At 39.4% G+C, this 20,866-nt stretch overlaps 1 protein-coding gene across 16 annotated transcripts in view; it reads left to right on the top strand.

Annotated features, from left to right (window-relative positions):
* Window positions 1–16,724, top strand: part of LINS1 (lines homolog 1) — a 35,261-nt gene extending 18,537 nt beyond the window's left edge. For 3 of the 16 annotated variants that reach the window (XM_005254943.3, XM_047432784.1, XM_047432785.1), the window contains exons 2-7: window positions 2,703–3,204; window positions 3,296–3,385; window positions 8,520–8,661; window positions 9,407–9,997; window positions 11,691–11,754; window positions 13,531–16,724. In XM_005254943.3, the coding sequence (XP_005255000.1) occupies window positions 2,806–3,204; window positions 3,296–3,385; window positions 8,520–8,661; window positions 9,407–9,997; window positions 11,691–11,754; window positions 13,531–14,410 (2,166 nt within the window). In that variant the 5' untranslated portion in view covers window positions 2,703–2,805 and the 3' untranslated portion in view covers window positions 14,411–16,724. Of the gene's footprint in view, window positions 1–2,702; window positions 3,205–3,295; window positions 3,386–6,945; window positions 7,108–8,519; window positions 8,662–9,406; window positions 9,998–10,347; window positions 11,755–12,987; window positions 13,198–13,530 lie in introns of those variants that run through there. The other 13 variants (NM_001040616.3, XM_005254941.3, XM_024449980.2 and 10 more) reach the window with 10 other exon arrangements.

Here is a 20,866-nt window from a genome sequence, read left to right as displayed (position 1 = left end):
AGGTTGGTCCTTTCTGGTTAACCCTTTCTTGGAATAAAAAAGGGTATGGTGCTTTTCCATTCTGGCCTTCTGAGAGCACGCAGGGCTGAGATAAAGTATAACACTGTCAGATAGAACAACATTACCAACATTTGTATTAATCAATCATATGGGATGCATACCACAGGTTGAAAGTGTGATTCAGAGAAAACTTATCAAAAGTTTCATTCATAACTTTAAAATCTATAGGTTTCTTAATATTTATTTCTCCATGAAAGGACTAAAACAGGGCAGCTTTGTGTTGTGGAGTAATCAACAATTGAAACTCAGGCTAAATCAGGGGAAGAAGCCAGCCATTAAAGACCAAGACTAGGCTAGTGGGCCATATTGTAGACGGAAGACCCAGTATAAGACCAAGACTAGGCTAGTGGGCCATAGTGTAGATGGAAGACCCAGTGTAAGACCAAGACTAGGCTAGTGGGCCATGTTGTAGATGGAAGACCCAGTGTAAGACCAAGACTAGGCTAGTGGGCCATGTTGTAGATGGAAGACCCAGTATAAGACCAAGACTAGGCTAGTAGGCCATAGTGTAGACGGAAGACCCAGTGTAAGACCAAGACTAGGCTGGTGGGCCGTAGTGTAGACAGAAGACCCAGTGTAAGAGCAAGACTAGGCTAGTGGGCCGTAGTGTAGATGGAAGACCCAGTGTAAGACCAAGACTAGGCTAGTGGGCCATAGTGTAGATGGAAGACCCAGTATAAGACCAAGACTAGGCTAGTGGGCCGTAGTGTAGATGGAAGACCCAGTGTAAGACCAAGACTAGGCTAGTGGGCCATGTTAAGACCAAGACTAGGCTAGTGGGCCGTAGTGTAGATGGAAGACCCAGTGTAAGACCAAGACTAGGCTAGTGGGCCATGTTGTAGATGGAAGACCCAGTATAAGACCAAGACTAGGCTAGTGGGCCATAGTGTAGATGGAAGACCCAGTATAAGACCAAGACTAGGCTAGTGGGCCATAGTGTAGATGGAAGACCCAGTGTAAGACCAAGACTAGGCTAGTGGGCCATGTTGTAGATGGAAGACCCAGTATAAGACCAAGACTAGGCTAGTGGGCCATAGTGTAGACGGAAGACCCAGTGTAAGACCAAGACTAGGCTGGTGGGCCATAGTGTAGACAGAAGACCCAATGTAAGACCAAGACTAGGCTAGTGGCCATAGTGTAGATGGAAGACCCAGTATAAGACCAAGACTAGGCTAGTGGGCCATAGTGTAGATGGAAGACCCAGTGTAAGACCAAGACTAGGCTAGTGGGCCATGTTGTAGATGGAAGAACCAGTATAAGACCAAGACTAGGCTAGTGGGCCATAGTGTAGACGGAAGACCCAGTGTAAGACCAAGACTTGGCTGGTGGGCCATAGTGTAGACAGAAGACCCAGTGTAAGACCAAGACTAGGCTAGTGGCCATAGTGTAGACGGAAGACCCAGTGTAAGACCAAGACTAGGCTGGTGGGCCGTAGTGTAGACAGAAGACCCAGTGTAAGACCAAGACTAGGCTAGTGGCCATATTGTAGATGGAAGACCCAGTGTAAGTGGTAGACTTCCGAAGTCTTTTGGAAGTTGAAGATGGGAAGTGTGTCTATAAACGGGTCAGGGCAGAGAAGTCTGTAATTTTGTTAAAGGGTAAATTTCAAGAGTGTGAAATCACAACCCATATAAAATGACCAAGTATCAAAGATTTTATTTACCTTATTACTAAGGGAACCAGGCACAACCTGTTTAAAGGAGCAGTAAGAAAACCATGAACTATGTAGGGTGAAGGAATGTTAAAATGAGTTTACAGGTGGAAGCAAAACTGATTTTTCCCACTGGGGAGAGGGTTGCCTCTTTATCAGACAGTTCTTCACAGATCTGTGGACAAGAATTATTTGAGGTGTGAAATATTTCAAAGGCAATGAAAGGAGCAAAACCCCCCTCCTTCCCAGGGTCAGATTGTTCCCAGAGGCTCCAGCATTCCATTGTCATGATATTCAGTAATCTCTTTTGCCTATGCCAAAGTCCTAAGTTTTTCCTTGCCATACTCCCTCTATAGTAACTACTTGCTGCTTCTGATGTTGATCCATTTTAAGTTGGAATTTCATTGGCAATAGCCATAATCTAGTTTGACCATATAGCAGTCTAACTTTAAATTTTTATCTATAAATTGGAGGTGAAGGTTAATGAATTTGAATTAGCTCAGTGGTTCTCAACTGGAGTGATTTTGTCCCCCAGGGGACATTTGACAATGTCTGCAGACATTTTTTGGTTGTCAAAATCTGGCAGGTCAGGTGGGAAGTGCTTTGGGCATGTAGAAGGTAGAGGTCAGGAATGCTGCCAAACATCTTATAATACACAAAACAGCTCCCCACTACAAAGTTATCTGGCTCCAAATATTAATAGTGCCAAAGTTAAGAAACCCTGATAGCCATTGAAAACTGTTAGAGGAAAGCTCAAGTTTCTGCTGCGTTAAAATTAAACCTAATTTTATGCTCTCAAATCTGTGTGGAAAGCATACATTTCATTGTTACGGTCTTGAAATAATGTTCCTGTTACAATTTTCCATTTTAGAAATTAAGCAGTCAGCATCCCCTTTAACTTGAGAGACTTAGTGATTAAGTGGAAACAGTTGCTTTCTCTTGTAATAAGCATATAGCAGTTAGAATTTTTAAATTATTTTTCCTATTTTAGGTTTCACTGAAGAAACTTCTTAGAGATTCATTGCACTTCTGAGATTTAATGTTTACAACTTGGAGTTGTCGACCTTCTTATAAGATACATTTTGGAAGTCAAAATGAAAGTTTTCTGTGAAGTTTTAGAAGAGTTATACAAGAAGGTACTTCTTGGAGCCACACTTGAAAATGACAGCCATGATTACATCTTTTATCTCAACCCAGCAGTTTCAGATCAAGATTGTTCTACAGCCACCTCCTTAGAATGGGCAAACACCTGTGGTATCCAGGGCAGGCATCAGCCCATCTCTGTTGGTGTGGCTCCCATTGCTGTAGCACCTGTGTGTTTGAAGACCAACTCTCAGATGAGCGGTTCCAGAGAAGTAATGCTCCTTCAGTTAACAGTGATCAAAGTGATGACAACCCGGATATTGTCTGTCAAAACCGAGTTCCATGCAAAGGAGCAGTACAGAGATGTAATTAAAATTCTCTTAGAATCAGCCAAAGTCGATTCTAAATTAGTAAGCCATTTGTTTTTCTAAAGATGTAGATATTTAAAATAATTTTAAGAACATTCAGCAATAGTGGTTAATTATATTTGTTTTCCTGTAGATCTGCATGTTCCAAAATTCAGATAAATTGTTATCTCACATGGCTGCACAGTGCCTTGCATTGCTTCTATATTTCCAATTGAGAGAAAAGGTAAGATAAGTAATCAAAGTATGTTATTATTTCTCTTTCTTAATTTTTTTTAAATTTAAATGTTTTGTGGAGACAAGGTCTCACTGTGTTGCCCAATCTGATCTCAAACTTCTGGGCTCAAGCAATCCTCCTGCCTCAGCCTCCCAAAGTGCTGGGATTAAAGACGAGAGCCGTGGCACCTAACCTGTTTCTCTTATAGTTTCTTTAAAATTGCTCTTTGACATTTGATTTTTACCCTTCAGATATTTGTATTAATAAGACATTTGCTCACATAATAACATATGTAAAGCCATAAAAATTTAAGAATAGAATATGATGATTTGTGTCAAGGATTAGAGTCTTAAATGTGTTGTCAATCATAATCAGATTCTTAACCTGAGAGGTGAATTTCACATCAGACTCCATAACTTTCTGCAGATTCTCGAACTAGTAGGTGGACCCCTTCCCCCTAAAAAGATTTAGGAACCACCAGTTGAGAACAAGCCTATTTTCACAGGTTTAATGTAAATTCTAACAACAGTCCTCAGCATAATATAAAACAGTATAAATAAATTCAGAGTTGAGTTTTTCTCTTATCTCTGAATTAGTTAATAAACAAATGAAATATCTACTGACTTTTCAACTATAATCTCTTGCTTCTTTCAATAACTTTTCTGAATATAAAAAGTGATATTACAGTAGAAAATTTGGAAAATAGACAAAGTATAAAGAGCAAATTAAAATGAAAAATTCACTACTTAGAGATAACACTGCTAACATTTTCATCTTTCATTTTTATTTTCTTTTTTTTTTCTTTACTGTCATAATTTTTATTCAGCATTACTGTGGAAGTTCTGGCTAGTGCAGTAATTAAAAAAAAAATAAGTTAAAGGTATAAAGATAAAATGTTGAAGTAAAGGGGCCACAGTCTTTGCTTTCTTGAAACTTAGAATCCAGTAGTAATCTGAATTGTTATAGTCTACCTAAGAGGAGATTTTGAAGTGAACATCAATTATGTAAAGTATCTTTTTACCAAGACATGGTTTTTTTGTGGTTATCACTGGCTCATTTTTATTTTTAGTTTTTTATTTTTTTATATATATATTTTTATTATACTTTAAGTTCTAGGGTACATGTGCACAACGTGCAGGTTTGTTACATATGTATACATGTGCCATGTTGGTGTGCTGCACCCATTAACTCGTCATTTACATTAGGTGTATCTCCTAATGCTATCCCTTCCCCCTCCCCCTACCCCACAACAGGCCCTGGTGTGTGATGTTCCCCTTCCTGTGTTCAAGTGTTGTCATTGTTCAGTTCCCACCTATGAGTGAGAATATGCGGTGTTTGGTTTTTTGTTCTTGTGATAGCTTGCTGAGAATGATGGTTTCCAGCTTCATCCATGTCCCTACAAAGGACATGAACTCATCATTTTTTATGGCTGCATAGTATTCCATGGTGTATATGTGCCACATTTTCTTAATCCAGTCTATCATTGTTGGACATTTGGGTTGGTTCCAAGTCTTTGCTATTGTGAGTAGTGCCACAATAAACATATGTGTGCATGTGTCTTTATAGCAGCATGATTTATATTCCTTTGGGTATATACCCAGTAATGGGATGGCTGGGTCAAATGGTATTTCTAGCTCTAGATCCCTGAGGAATCGCCACACTGTCTTCCACGCTGGTTGAACTAGTTTACAGTCCCACCAACAGTGTAAAAGTGTTCCTATTTTTCCCCATCCTCTCCAGCACCTGTTGTTTCCTGACTTTTTAATGATCGCCATTCTAACTGGTGTGAGATGGTATCTCACTGTGGTTTTGATTTGCATTTCTCTGATGGCCAGTGATGATGAGCATTTTTTCATGTGTCTGTTGGCTGCATAAATGTCTTCTTTTGAGAAGTGTCTGTTCATATCCTTTGCCCACTTTTTGATGAGGTTGTTTGTTTTTTTCTTGTAAATTTGTTTGAGTTATTTGTAGATTCTGGATATTAGCCCTTTGTCAGATGAGTAGATTGCAAAAATTTTCTCCCATTTTGTAGGTTGTCTGTTCACTCTGATGGTAGTTTCTTTTGCTGTGCAGAAGCTCTTTAGTTTAATTAGATCCCATTTCTCTATTTTGGCTTTTGTTGCCATTGCTTTTGGTGTTTTAGACATGAAGTCCTTGCCCATGCCTATGTCCTGAATGGTATTGCCTAGGTTTTCTTCTAGGGTTTTTATGGTTTTAAGTCTAACATATAAGTCTTTAATCCATCTTGAATTAATTTTTGTATAAGGTATAAGGAAGAGATCCAGTTTCAGCTTTCTACATATGGCTAGCCAGTTTTCCCAGCACCATTTGTTAAATAGGGAATCCTTTCCCCATTTCTTGTTTTTGTCAGGGTTGTCAAAGATCAGATGGTTGTAGATGTGTGGCATTATTTCTGAGGGCTCTGTTCTGTTCCATTGGTCTGTATCTCTGTTTTGGTACGAGTACCATGTTGTTTTGGTTACTGTAGCCTTGTAGTATAGTTGGAAGTCAGGTAGCGTGATGCCTCCAGCTTTGTTCTTTTGGCTTAGGATTGACTTGGCAATGCAGGCTCTTTTTTGGTTCCATATGAACTTTAAAGTAGTTTTTTCCAATTCTGTGAAGAAAGCCATTGGTAGCTTGATGGGGATGGCATTGAATCTATAAACTACCTTGGGCAGTATGGCCATTTTCACAATATTGATTCTTCCTATCCATGAGCATGGAATGTTCTTCCATTTGTTTGTGTCCTCTTTTACTTCGTTGAGCAGTGGTTTGTAGTTCTCCTTGAAGAGGTCCTTCACATCCCTTGTAAGTTGGATTCCTAGGTATTTTATTCTCTTTGAAGCAATTGTGAATGGGAGTTCACTCATGATTTGGCTGTTTGTCTGTTATTGGTGTATAAGAATGCTTGTGATTTTTGCACATTGATTTTGTATCCTGAGACTTTGCTGAAGGTGCTTATCAGCTTAAGGAGATTTTGGGCTGAGACGATGGGGTTTTCTAGATATACAATCATGTCATCTGCAAACAGGGACAATTTGACTTCCTCTTTTCCTAGTTGAATACCCTTTGTTTCTTTCTCCTGCCTAATTGCCCTGGCCAGAATTTCCAACACTCTGTTGAATAGGAGTGGTGAAAGAGGGCATCCCTGTCTTGTGCCAGTTTTCAAAGGGAATGCTTCCAGTTTTTGCCCATTCAGTATGATATTGGCTGTGGGTTTGTCATAAATAGCTCTTATTATTTTTAGATACGTCCCATCAGTACCTAATTTATTGAGAGTTTTTTAGCATGAAGGGTTGTTGAATTTTGTCAAAGGCCTTTTCTGCATCTATTGAGATAATCATGTGGTTTTTGTCTTTGGTTCTGTTTATATGATGGATTACATTTACTGATTTGCATATGTTGAACCAGCCTTGCGTCCCAGGGATGAAGCCCACTTGATCATGGTGGATAAGCTTTTTGATGTGCTGCCGGATTTGGTTTTGCCAGTATTTTACTGAGGATTTTCTCATCGATGTTCATCAGGGATATTGGTCTAAAATTCTCTTTTTTTGTTGTGTCTCTGCCAGGCTTTGGTATCAGGATGATGCTGTCCTCATAAAATGAGTTAGGGAGGATTCCCTCTTTTTCTGTTGATTGGAATAGTTTCAGAAGGAATGGTACCAGCTCTTCCTTGTACGTCTGGTAGAATTCGGCTGTGAATCCATCTGGTCCTGGGCTTTTTTTGGTTGGTAAGCTATTATTATTGCCTCAATTTAAGAGCCTATTATTGGTCTATTAAGAGATTCAGCTTCTTCCTGGTTTAGTCTTGGGAGGGTGTATGTGTCCAGGAATTTATCCATTTCTTCTAGATTTTCTACTTTATTTGCATAGAGGTATTTATAGTATTCTCTGATGGTAGTTTGTATTTCTATGGAATCAGTGGTGATACTCCCTTTATCATTTTTTATTGCGTCTATTTGATTCTTCTCTCTTTTCTTCTTTATTAGTCTTGCTAACGGTTTATCAATTTTGTTGGTCTTTTCAAAAAACCAGCTCCTGGATTCATTGATTTTTTGAAGGGTTTTTTGTGTCTCTATCTCCTTCAGTTCTGCTCTGATCTTAGTTATTTCTTGCCTTCTGCTAGCTTTTGAATGTGTTTGCTCTTGCTTCTCTAGTTCTTTTAATTGTGATGTTAGGGTGTCAATTTTAGATCTTTCCTGCTTTCTCTTGTGGGCATTTAGTGCTGTAAATTTCCCTCTACGTACTGCTTTAAATGTGTCCCAGAGATTCTGGTATGTTGTGTCTTTGTTCTTGTTGGTTTCAAAGAACATCTTTATTTCTGCCTTCATTTCATTATGTACCCAGTAGTCATTCAGGAGCAGGTTGTTCAGTTTCCATGTAGTTGAATGGTTTTGAGTGAGTTTCTTAATCCTGAGTTCTAGTTTGATTGCACTGTGGTCTGAGAGACAGTTTGTTGTGATTTCTGTTCTTTTACATTTGCTGAGGAGTGCTTTACTTCCAACTATGTGGTCAATTTTGGAATAGGTGTGGTGTGGTGCTGAGAAGAATGTATATTCTGTTGATTTGGGTTGGAGAGTTCTGTAGATGTCTATTAGGTCTGCTTGGTGCAGAGCTGAATTCAATTCCTGGATATCCTTGTTAACTTTCTGTCTCGTTGTTCTGTCTAATGTTGACAGTGGGGTGTTAAAGTCTCCCATTATTATTGTGTGGGAGTCTAAGTCTCTTTGTAGGTCTCTAAGGAGTTGCTTTATGAATCTGGGTGCTCTTGTATTGGGTGCATATATATTTAGGATAGTTAGCTCTTCTTGTTGAATTGATCCCTGTACCATTATGTAATGGTCTTCTTTGTCTCTTTTGATGTTTGTTGGTTTAAAGTCTGTTTTATCAGAGACTAGGATTGCAACCCCTGCCTTTTTTTGTTTTCCATTTGCTTGGTAGATCTTCCTCCATCCCTTTATTTTATTTCTGTGGCATATTCGATTTTTTTACTTAAATAATATTAGGATACTTCTGTTCCTTCTCGGTGTGCCACATATTATCATACTTCTTTTGGCCAAATGTATAAACAATGTTGTATACAGTTGTATTATGTAAAGAAAATATTGTATTTTAACTGCTTGCTTTATTTTCTCACTTGTAGATAACCTTAAGTAATTCCTGGATTGCTTTTTGCCAGAAAAATCTTTCTGAATACTCTGAGAGTAATAAAGCAATATACTGCCTCTGGACTCTTACAGCAATAATAAAAGAAATCTTTAAAGATTCATGTTCACAGAAAACAGGTATGGATTACATGGCCCCATAAACAATCATCATCTTGCTCCTGGGAGCGTTGCATTTATAATGAGAAACAAAACTTAATTTGGAACATCTGATCTGTCTTAAAGTAATGAAAAAGTCAGTCTCTTCCAATATATTTTGATTGAGGATAACCTGTTTTAAAAGAAAAAAAAGTATAAGGAAAAAAGTAAAGCTTTTCATGAGCACAAATCCCTTGCATTGTTTGATGTTACTGATATTCGTAAAATGAATATTTTTTGTTTTGTTTTGTTTTATTTTTTTGAGACAAGTCTTGCTTTGTTGCCCAGGCTGGAGTGCAATGGCATGATCTTGGCTCACTGCAACCCCTGCCTTGCGAGTTCAAGTGATTCTTCTGCCTCAGCCTCCCGAGTAGCTGGGATTACAGGCGCTCACCACCACACCCAGCTAATTTCTGTATTTTTAGTAGACACAGGGTTTTACCATGTTGGCCAGGCTGGTCTCAAACTCCTGACCTCAAGTGATCCACCCGCATCGGCCTCCCGAAGTGCTGGGATTACAGTTGTGAGCCACCACACCCAGCCATAAAATGAATTTTAACCGTGGTTCTTACCCATTAATCTGTGTAACCTCATTTGTTAATGTTAGAGGTAAACATTCCAAATCTGTTTTTTCATCTTAAAAAGTGATATTTATAAAAAGTGAATTGTAAAATTGTTTGAAGAAGACTGTTTTTCCTGTTTATAATTCCTATTTTTATAATTGCAGAAATTCTAAAGCAGTTCCTGACTCATTTCGACACCATTTTTGAAGTGTTTTACAATTCCTTATTCTCTCAGCATTTTGAAAACTGCCGGGATACTTCTAAAATAGTAAACATCCTGATGTGTTTCCTGGATTTGCTTGAGCTTCTCATCGCCTCCAGAATCCACCTGAAGTTACATTTCACTTGCCAGAGGATTTTATTTTTGAAACCATCTTGCATGCTAGAAGTTATTACCTGGCCTATTCAGGCTTTTGTTAAAAGGAAGGTCATCATATTCCTCAAAAAGTGCCTTCTCTGTAAAGTGGGTGAAGACCTCTGTCGTGGATCTGTGCCTGCCTTAATGCCGCCAGACCATCATGTAGCGGTGGACATGCTGGCTTTAGCTAATGCTGTTTTGCAAGCTGTGAATTCGGGGTTGTTGAAGACACTGTCTGTTTATGAAAAACATTCCTTTTTTGGAGGTGATGAAGTTCAACCTGAATGTGAACTTATCACTAGTCCAGATCATGTGATCCTTAGAGCAGCAAGCTTAGTTATAATGAAATCCTTAGAAATCAAGTTTCAAAATTATTCTTCAGCAAGTGAAGTGAAAGGTAATTCTCCAAACTCCTTTTGTATGCAGTGTGTAATTATTTACTTAAGTACAGTAATTCATAATTATCAAATCTCAGGACTAGTTTAAATTCCAGTAATTTAAGCTGTATGTTATCCTATTTGTAACTTATTACATTTTCAAAAAAAAAAAAAAGAACTGGATTTACCTTTAAGAAACATGTCAGCTTTTTGTGCCTACAATGAATTTGTAAAGCATAAGGAATGATTTAGGTTTAAAAAAGTTGCTGTTGAGTCATCTCAAAGTAAGTGATGGAAATCAATTCATATTCAAGTATTTACAGCATTTTATTTATATTAATCCTTTTTTTTTTTTTAATCTAAACTGCAGGTGCGTGACCATGGCCCACTGCAGCCCTGACCCCCCTTCGGCCCATGCTATTCCTCCTGTCCCAACCTGGGAGGTCCTAGCCTGGGAGATCAAGGCTACAGTGAGCCGCGACCCATCGCACACCTGCACTCCAGTCCTGGTGCAACAGATGGAGATCCTTTCAGGGAGAGAGAGAGAGAGAGAGGAGAAGACAGAGAGATTAAAGAAAAATATGTTCACTCCCACTTATGTGTTTATTGTTATTATTGTTTGTTGTTATTTCTTTGTTATTGTTGTGTTTACTGTTTATTTATTTTGAGGCAGGGTCTTGCTCTGTCTCCCAGGCTCACTGCAGCCTCAACGTTTTGAGCTGAAGTGATCCTCTCGTCTCTGTTTCCCCACCCCATTTGTATTAATCCTTCATACAATTAGTGTTTCCACTAATGTAGATTATTGAAAATTAGATATTGAATTAAAGCTAATATATGAGAAGTTATATTGACAAAGAAATTGTTACATATATAATTTCCAGAATAGTAACTCAGGAGTTCAAAGTCTTCCATTTTACTTGAGAAAAATGAATAGTAAATGTCTCTAAACAGGCAGCATACAGATTCAGTGAAAAGTTTGAATTGTGAGCAATGACATCACTGAATTGCTTTGGATATAATTTAGCTTTTAATAACTACACATTAGTTATAATTCTGTGCAGTTTTAATTTATAACACTAGATGGCACCTGTTATATAATTCAGTTTTAAATTGTAGTTCAAACTACCTAAAACGTTTTTTATTTTTGTGCTTAATAGTAGTACTTCTATGCTTTAAACAAACAAAAAATATGTTTTTCTGTTATTTTGAAGACAAAATTATTTTTGCTTGGTTGCATTCTTGGACAGACAGCTCTGGCATCCGATGAAGTGATCTTAGTTGTCTGCTCATTTATTTATCTGCTTTTAGCAAGAAATCACATAACTTTTATTTCTAAGAGACAGTTGTTAGGCAGTTGTTGCAAATAGATGATGTAGCTGTACATTTTAAATGTATGCTCTGGAATGAGTCACTTTTTTTCCCTGAGCCTCAGTGTCCTCATTTGCCAAATAAAGATGCTTCCTAACTGATTCCTGATGACTTTTTGAAAGTGAATTAGGATAATTGCATCTTAAGGTACTTTAGACACTATGAATTTATATATAGGCAAGATATTCATTCATTCATAAACTATTGCCTACACTTTGAAATTTTCATTTTTTGAAGTTGACTTACAGAGGTTCATGTCTGAGTTACTGACCTTCTTAAAGCCTCATCTTCAGCCCTCTCTGCAATTACACAATCCGTGCAAATGGCTGTCTCGGGTTTTCATAGAACAAGACGATGACATGCTGGAGGCTGCCAAGGCATCACTGGGCATCTACTTAACACTGACCAGGTTAGTGTATTTTAAAGTAATTATTGAACGGCCTACAAGTCAGGAAAGCAGAAAACATTTCTGAGAATGTGCTGGGCGTGTTGCTTACTTTCATCATTTGGGGGAAAACATCCTGTTGCAGTTCCTTTCTTTAACCCTGACTTACATGAAAAGGAGATTGCATTTGTATCGCTAGGAAAACCTGGCTGGCTGGGCAGTTCTCAGGTAGTATAACTAGATTGGTATCTGAAAACATGGCTTCTGATTTGGTCTCCAGTAAGTCAGTACACTTCTCTGAATCTTAATTGTTGTTCATTTAAGACCTCTTTTCACCCCTAAGACTTACTTTTTTGTATTAAGCTTCAGTAAGATGATCTTTGCCTTTGTAAAGGTGAATACAAACTTAGAAATAATCAAAGAAGCTGTTCTGAATTTTCGTTTCAGTCGAATTTGGGCTGATACCTTCTTGAGGCAAATGTCTGAAATTGGTTAAGTTATGTTACTGATGATTTATACTGATTGTCTCTGCTTTATTAAAATAGCTGTACTTGGGTTAATATCTTCTTGTGGCAAATATCTATAATTGGTTATGAAGCTAATAACCGATGACCTTTTCCACTGTTTCTGCTTCTGCTTTATTAAAACCCTCACATATTTGCTTTATTTCCATTTCTTTCTTGGCCTGGGAGAAAGGGATTTCTTGCTAATGATCTGTGGTGCAGCGTTGTGCCGCCAGTACTTACTTGTATTATGACACTGCTGGCAATGGCTGCTCTTAGACTCTTGAGTGTTTGGGGCCAATTTTCAAAAGGTCCTAATCAAGAACACAAAATTCCTGCATGTGATTTGAATTAGGTTCAAAATGGTCAAATACAAGTTCAGTCTGAAAATGCACACGCCTGTAAGAGTGTATCTTAATTGTACTCAAAGTTAGCTCCTTACTCCTCAGGAAGTGGAAACCCCTGAATGAAACTGACTTTGTGTGTGAATTTCTCACTTTCTGAATCCAGTTCAGTGTGTCCAGAGAGGCATGTGCTTACAACATAGATAGTTTTTTTCAGATGTAGTTGTATTTGTTAAGATTTTTTTGGTTGTAAATGATAGAAACCAACTCTAATTTGAGCAAAAGCCAGCATTTATTGGCTCATAACTGGGAATTCTAAAGGGTCAAGTTGGAGTCAGGTATAACTATATGTACAGGGACTATAATCAATCATGTCATCAATCACTTCTCAATTTTTCTCTGTCTCACAGTTTTGAATTCATTCTCAAGGCATGGCCACCGGCAGTTCAAGGCGTACCTCAGCCTTACAGTTATAATCTTCCATAGCTCCAGCAAAAGTCCCAGGGGAGACCTGATTAACCCACTTGGGTCACAGAGCCTTGTCAGAACCAGTCATTGTGGCCAGGAGCATGGAGTGCTCTGATTGGTCAATCTGGGTCACATGCCCACCCTTGTTGAGGGTAAGGAAGGAGGTTTAGGAATTATCTTACCACATGGAATTGGTTACCTATAAGAATGAGGAGTTCTGATGTCGAGAGAAAGAACAACAGGTAACTTTTATTGGGCAGACAAAAACTAGAACTGCCAAAGTCAGTGGATTTTGCTTTACTGAGTCAGATTTCTTTAGAGCTTATGGGGAAGGGAATGGGTTTTGAAATTTTTTCTTTTAAGAAGTGATGCATAGATTTAAAAGTAATCTAATAGGTTAATTTATGGTATGTGAATTATATCTGGTAAAACTGTTTATTTTTGTAAGGTCATTAATCTGCATTCTCCATTATCTTCATTTTCAGAGGATGTGAAGCCACTGAAAGCTTGACTCAGGGAAAAGAAATGTGGGACCATCACACACATGAAAATGGCTATAATCCTCACTGTATTTTCTTGTTCTTCTTGAAAAATATAGGATTTGATTCCACAGTTCTTCTTGACTTTTTGATTTCATCAGAAACCTGTTTTCTTGAATATTTTGTTAGATATTTAAAATTACTGCAAAAGGACTGGGATAATTTTTTCACCATTTGCAATAACTTTGATGCAACTGAATCTAAATATGACATAAGTATTTGTGGCTGTGTCCCCTCACTTGTCCAAGACCAAAGCTCCAACCAAACAATACCCCATCGTTTGACTGCTCCTCATAGTCACAGAGATGTGTGTGCTCGGCACTCCTGGGCTTCCGATGCTCCCTCTGAACCACTGAAAGCTGTGATGTCCAAGGGGGCTCACACCATGTGTGCTTCTAGTCTGTCTTCCCCCCGGGCCTCTCAAAGTCTGGTAGATTACGACAGCTCTGACGATTCTGACGTGGAATCCACAGAGCAGTGTTTAGCTAACAGTAAACAGACATCTTTACACCAGCAAGCAACTAAGGAGATTCAGGATGCAGCTGGGACAAGCAGGGATAAAAAAGAATTTAGCCTTGAGCCTCCATCAAGGCCTCTGGTTCTGAAAGAATTTGATACTGCCTTCTCCTTTGATTGTGAAGTAGCCCCAAATGATGTCGTCTCTGAAGTGGGAATATTTTACAGAATAGTAAAATGCTTCCAGGAACTACAAGATGCCATCTGCCGTTTGCAAAAGAAAAATCTTTTCCCATATAATCCAACTGCACTTTTGAAGTTGTTAAAATACATAGAGGTGATAAGTAATAAAACTATGAACACTTTGTAAAACATTGACATTTTATTTTCCAGGTATTGTTTTTCCTTAATATAAATTATGTCTCAATGAGGTAATAGTATAAAATCATCACCATAAAAGGGTTTTCTTTTTTTTTTTTTTTTTTGAGACAGAATCTCATTCTGTCGCTCAGGCCGGAGTGCAGTGGCGTGACTCGACTCACTGCAACCTCCACCTCCTGGGTTCAAGCAATTCTCCTGCCTCAGTCTCCCGAGTAGCTGGAATTACAGGTGCCCGCCACCACGCCCAGCTAATTTTTGTATTTTTAGTAGAGACGGGGGTTTCACCATGTTGCCAGGCTGGTCTCAAACTCCTGACCTCAAGTGATCCGCCTGTCCGCCCTCCCGAAGTGCTGGGATTACAGGCATGAGCCACTGTGCCCGGCTGGGTTTTCTAGACAAGTTCTTACTTTTTGCCTTATTGGAAGCAACCTAGTGACTGAAAAAGAGACATCAAGTGACAAGTCACTCATTATAGCTATATACCACTGGAGATTTATGGCAGTTCTAAGTGACACAAAATCGGGGGTGGTGATTGCGTTCCTCAGCTAGGGCTGCCGTAACAACTTGCCACGTGTGCCGCAGCTTCAGACACCTGGAATTATCCTCATAGTTTTGGAGGCCAGAATCCAAACTCAGGCTTCAGCAGGGCAATGCCCTCAGGGTCTGGAGAAGAATCCCACCCTGCCCCTTTCTGGCTTCTGGTGGCAGCCAGCCAGCCATGGTGTCCCTTGTCTTGTAGTGGCGTCACTCCAGTTCCTGCCTCACATGGCATTTTCCTGTGTCTGTGTCCAGTTTCCCTCCTACAAGGACATCGGTCATTGGACTAGGACCTACCCTCATCCAGTATGATCTCAACTTGATGACAGCTGCAAAGACCCTAATCCCAGATATGGCCACTTTCATGTGTCCTTGATGGACTTGAATCCAGGAGAGTCACTAACCAAATACAGTTACTATTTCCTTCTGGGGTATTTACACAGAAAGCGATATATTACAAATGTAAAATCTTAGCCGTTTCTTTGAGAAGTGATTATACCTGGCCTACTGTATGAACATGATTCTTTCTAAAAAAAAATTTAATCACTAATTTTCCTATTTAAAATTGTGACATGAATAATTATGTTCCATATTCTTGAGGGGAAGCCGTAAATTCCATTGTAATATGTTTGTGTAATAGGAGCAATAGCTATATTGTGCTGCGAAGTCTGGCATTAAGGCAGTCTAAAATATTGCCTGTACATTTTTTTTTAATGATCTCTTTGCAGAGAAACAGAACAAAGACTAAACCTACCGCACATTAAAATATATATTAAGGCTATGGTATTCGAAACAGTTTAGTACTTAATTCAGGTAGACATGGAAAAATCAGTGGAGCTAAATAGAAGGTTGCCGATTAAAATAACAGCGAAGTACCAGTGTTAGCCAAATAGCAATGCAAAGGTCAAAAGGTTTGCGTTTTAACATGCTGTCGGTGAGGCTATGCGTTAAGGCAGTTTCTACCGTAATTGAAAAAGCACGTCAAAGAATGTGTATTCAAGGATGCCACATAGTTTGTAAAAAATGTTAAGGTTTTAGAGTTTTACTAGAAATACCTGGTAAAGTAAGTCAGAATTTGTATAGTCAGTGGAATGGTAGATGCGTTCTATGCACGTTTGTGGATGTGAAACATCTCCAGTAAAAAACAAGTAAATACATGGGGCTTGCAATTATTTAGGGAAAGAAGCAGGGCGGGAGTAATACACATTCATATATATGCTTTTGTGCATGTATAAAATATGTATGTAAGACTACATAAGAAAGTCATAATAGTGGTTGCCTTGGGAGACAGGTCTGATGTGGAAGACAAAGTCTCATCTTTTTGTACTATTTTTAGTGGGATACATGCAGCACTGCATTAGGATGTTTCAATAACAGACCACATAGTACAGTGGTCCCATAAGACTATCAAGCCGTTATTTTTACTGTGACTGTCCTATGTTTAGGCATGTTTAGATACACGCATACTTACTATTGTGTTACAGTTGCCTACAGTATTCAGTACAGTAACATGCTGTGTACAGGTTTGTAGCCTAGGAGCAATGGGCTATACCATATAGCCTAGGTGTGTAGTAGGCTATGCCATCTAGGTTTGTTGAGTATACTCTGTGACATACATGACATGACAACAAAATTGCCTTACAGCTCATTTCTCAGAACATGTCCCTGTCATGTGACACATGGCTGTTTTTTGATGGAAATAACTGGGAAAAAAAAATCGACTCTTGTTCCTAAGGGTACATAAATGTTGAATGCATTATAACTCATGCTTATGCAGATGTGGTTTTGACTTGTGTTTCTCTATAAGGTTAGCAAGGAACTGTCAGCCCCTCATTACATGTAAAATGAGGGAAAAGCAATCTTACAGATATGCGAAGTTGGTGTTTCAGAATCTCTACATTTATAACTAACTCGAGTGTAAGTCAATTCATCACACACTCACTAAGCCCTGCTCTTGCTAAAGGTGACCCTTGGCTGGTGTGATCACTATCCTTGGCCTTTCTGAGCATCTAAGCGCTATTCCCAGAGTTACTTCTTAAAGGAACACAAAACTATTGATGCATGTCTGCACAGTGAATTCCCAGAGTACAACACAAGAGGAGTCTGTAACCTCACCCCTTCCAGTAAAAGAATATGGAAATACAAGTGAGCACATGGTGCTGTGCACCTGACTTATTTTAAAGCAGAAGAGATACAGAAAAGTGCACTATAAGTATACAGCTTGTTGAATTTTCAGAAACAGCACACCTGTGGAGCCAGTCCCCAGATCAAGAAATAGCATGAGGCACCCAGAAGTCCCTCTTGAATCCTCTCCCTGTCACTGTCCACCCCTGAAGGTAACTGTGTCATGAACTGAGACAACAGAGACAATCTTTGCCTGGTTTTCTCTTTCTTTTATAAATGGAGTCATAGATTATGTATTCTTTTGTTCAACATCATTTGGGAGTGTGTCCTGATTTATTTTTAAAATGTCAAGTACCTGGCCAGGCATGGTGGCTCACGCCTGTAATCCCAGCACTTTGGGAGGCTGAGGCGGGTGGATCACCTGAGGTCAGGAGTTCGAGACCAGCCTGGCCAACATAGTGAAACCCCGTCTCTACTAAAAATACAAAAAACCAGCCAGGTATGGTGGCACACACCCATAATCCCAGCTACATGGGAGGCTGAGGCAGGAGAATCGCTTGAACCCCAGAGGCAGAGGCTGCAGTGAGCTGAGATCGCTCCATTGCACTCCAGCTTGGGCAACAAGAGCAAAACTCCATCTCAAAAAAAAGTTAAGTACCCACATTTCAGCTATTATTAGTAACAAAATACTTTGACTCCTCATAATTCTCTGACACGCCTGATATGCTAGAACAGTGAGATTAGCAAACACTGGTCAAACAATAAATTGTATGGTAAACAGGTTATGCAGGGCCTTGTGCAACTGGCCCCAACCTGCTTCTCCAGGCTGTCTGTGGTTTTCTCCCCATCCACTGTTCCTTGCACAACTCTTGGCTCTTACATATTCATTCATCAAGCCCCATCTTCAGTGTTAGATTGTGAAGCCTTCCCCCATCCGTTCTTCACCATTCAATTCTGCATGCTCTATTCTCTGTGCTTTGCTCTTTCCTGTGTTGTATCATTTGTCACATTATATTTGAACCATAAGTCGACAGTCTTTCCATTTGCTAAGCTCTTTTTACATCGTTACATCATAGGCACAGCACAAATGTTGAATAAATGAGAAGTGATCCTTCTCCAGGAACTTGATAATCTACTGGAGGAGACAGATGTGCAGAGAATTATAATCATTATCCTTACCTTGCACTTCCTACTTGCTAGCCACTGTTAAGTGCTCTTCTAATCCTTGTAACAATGTTAGAAAGTAGGTCCTATTATCATTATTATTATTATTATTATTATTATTATTCTTGTTTTGCAGACATGGAGATTAAGTAGCTTGCCCAAGATCACCCAGCCAGTAAAGTGGCAGAGCTGAAGTAATGGATTCAGGTAGTTGGGTTCCAACCTCTTCTCAGACTCCCTACATAATTTATTCCTGCCTTCAAGATAGAAGATGAGGGATGTACACTATTAAAACTAAAATTGTTGCAGATTTGGATATGTGTGGTAGGTGGTATAAGTCACACTATAAACTTATACTGGAGTCAGGTCATCCAAGACCTAGGGTGATGTGCTATGGAGTATTGACTTTTCTATACACAGTGGACAGCTGATGAGGTTTTTGAGTAAATGACTGGTTTTGTATTTGAAGAAAGTGACTTTAGTGGCAATATAGTGGCTAGAGTTTATTGCCACAATAGAGTGGAAGAGTTTATTGCAGAAATCCCACTGAAGGCAAGGGCAATGGGAATGGGATCCAGGCCTGGCTGAATGCTCACATCAGCTTTTCTGCCCTCAGACACCCACTAACAACAAGAAAGAGGCCAAATCACAAGCAACAAGACACATGCGGACAAAATGGAAAAGGAGAAAACAATTTTGGAAGCTCAAAGGTAGGTAGGTTGAAAACTCGTAACCGCCCAGTGGGTTCATCTTTCCCACTCCCTAAACGAAGCCGATTTATCAAGACAGGAATTTCAATAAAGAAAGAGTAATTCACACAGAGCCGGCTGTAGGGGAGACTGGAGTTTTATTATAACTCAAATCGGTCTTTCCGAGCATTCAGGGATCAGAGTTTTTAAGGATAATTTGGTGGGAAGGGGATGTGAGTCAAGAGTGCTGATTGGTTGGGAAAGAGAAGAGATCAGGGAATTAAAGCTGTCTTCTTGTGCTGAGTCAGTTCCTGGGTGGGGGCCACAAGAACCAAGATCAGATGAGCCAGTTTATGGATCTGGGTGGTGCCAGCTGATCCATCAAGTGCAGGGTCTACAAAATAGTTCCTGACTTAGGAGCAGTTTAGGGAGGGTCAGAATCTTGCAGCCTCCAGCTGCATGACTCCTAAACCATAATTTCTAATCTTGTGACTAATTTGTTAATCCTACAAAGGCAGTCTCGTCCCCAGGCAAGAAGGGGATTTGCCTCTTATCTTTGTTTTAAACTATAAATTCCTCTCAAAATTAGTTCAGCCTATGCCCAGGGATGAACAAGGACAGCTTGGAGGTAAGAAGCAAGATGGAGTTGGTTAAGTCCGATCTCTTCCACTGTCCCAGTTACAATTTTGCAGTGGCGGGTTCAAACTAACTTAGTCGACCCAGGAACATTACATTCCTATCTGGAATGGGGAAAACTGAAAAACCTGACTTATGAGCTGGATTCTTCTGAAGGCTCAGGAGCTTGTAGTCTTGAGTACCATGCTGTACCATGGGGTGGTGGGTGGAAAAGCAATTCAGGAAACAATTACTTCTAGATCCTCTGCCCCATTCCATGTAGTTAGCCATTGCTCCCTCCACCACCTAGCAGATTAGAGGTTAATTCCGGGAGAGTGTGAAACAACAGGTCTTTGGACTGGGGAACACCAGACATAGCTGGAGATAGGAATAACATACTGAAAACAGGATTAATTAAACATTTACATACTAAATATAACCACCATCCTCCCTGGCCTTCTCCCCAACCCTATTGCCAAAACACTTCTAACTCTAAGTAGGAGGCTAGAAGAGACTTTTCTGGGGAATTTAACAAACCCAAGAAAAAAGATCTAAAGACACTGATACTGGGGTTCCCCAAATGAATTACCCAGCCAAATCACCCTACTATGAAGCCCATAGTGGCAAATATCACCATGTACATAGAGCTAACTGGCATTTAAGTGGCTCACTCTTACATATAATGTGAGTGAATAGCCAAGGATCATCAGGAATTAGGGGAAAGCCTCTAACCCAAAAGGCAGAGATCAAAACAAACACGAAACAGATTAAACAAAGAGGAAGTTAATTTATCAATACCCTCAAAGAAATTATAAAGGATACTACATAAAAAATATTCAGCGAGGGGCTGGGCATGGTGGCTTACACCTGTAATTCCAGCACTTTGGGAGGCCAAGGCAAGAGAATCACTTGAGCCCAGGAGTTTAAGACCAGCCTGGGCGACATCATGAGACTCTGTCTCTCCAAAAAAAAAACCTAAATAGTTGAGTATAGTAGTCCCAGCTACTTGAGAGGCTTGGCAGAAGGATGGTTTGAACCCAGGAGTTTGAGGTTACAGTGAACTACAATCGTATAATCGCACCACTGCACTCCAGCCTGGGTGACAGAGCAGAGCAAGACCCTGTCTCAAAAAAGAAAAAAATATTCAGTGGGGAAAAAAATACCTCTTATAAATTAATAATGTGATAGCAAAAATGAAAAAGTAGAAATGTAGTAAAAATAAGTTGAGGAAATCTAGATTTTACAGCAATAGGACAAAGAAATTAGAAAATAGGAGAGAGAGAGATGATATAATGTGAGAACTGGTCACCAAGGTC

The sequence above is a fragment of the Homo sapiens genome, chromosome 15 (genome assembly GCF_000001405.40).
Source record: "Homo sapiens chromosome 15, GRCh38.p14 Primary Assembly".
NCBI classification, from domain to species: domain Eukaryota; kingdom Metazoa; phylum Chordata; class Mammalia; order Primates; family Hominidae; genus Homo; species Homo sapiens.
This window is presented reverse-complemented; position numbering and strand designations above follow the sequence as displayed.